The following is a 494-nucleotide window of genomic DNA, read 5'->3' on the forward strand; positions in this document are numbered from 1 at the left end:
CCTGTCCAATCTCAACACTTCTTGCCTTTCCTGGCTTGCTACTGACTAGGAGCATTGGAGCTGGCTGTTTGCTTTGCCAGGACAGCTTTTCTCCTTGATAACCAGCTTTTCTCAGATTAACAGCTCTTCCCTCAGATAACTAGTTTAGCCCATTACCTCCTTCAAACCTTGGCTCAATGTAACGTTTTCAATGAAGCCTACTCTGAGAATCCTATTTAAAATTGCAACGTACTTTGGGAGTCCAGGGCGGACAGATCACCTGAAATCAAGAGTACAAGACCAGCCTGGCCAACATGGTGAAACTCCATCTCTGCAAAAATACAAAAATTAGCCGGGCATGGTGGCACGTGTTTGTAGTCCCAGCTACTCAGGAGGAGGAGTTTGCAGTGATCGGAGATCGTGCCACTGCACTCCAGCCTGGGCATTAAAGCAAGGCTCCGTCTCAAAAAGATGAATGTCTCTTCATCTTCTTTTATCCTGTTCTATTTTTTTTC

Source organism: Homo sapiens, chromosome 1 (assembly GCF_000001405.40).
Source record: "Homo sapiens chromosome 1, GRCh38.p14 Primary Assembly".
In the NCBI taxonomy this organism is placed as follows: domain Eukaryota; kingdom Metazoa; phylum Chordata; class Mammalia; order Primates; family Hominidae; genus Homo; species Homo sapiens.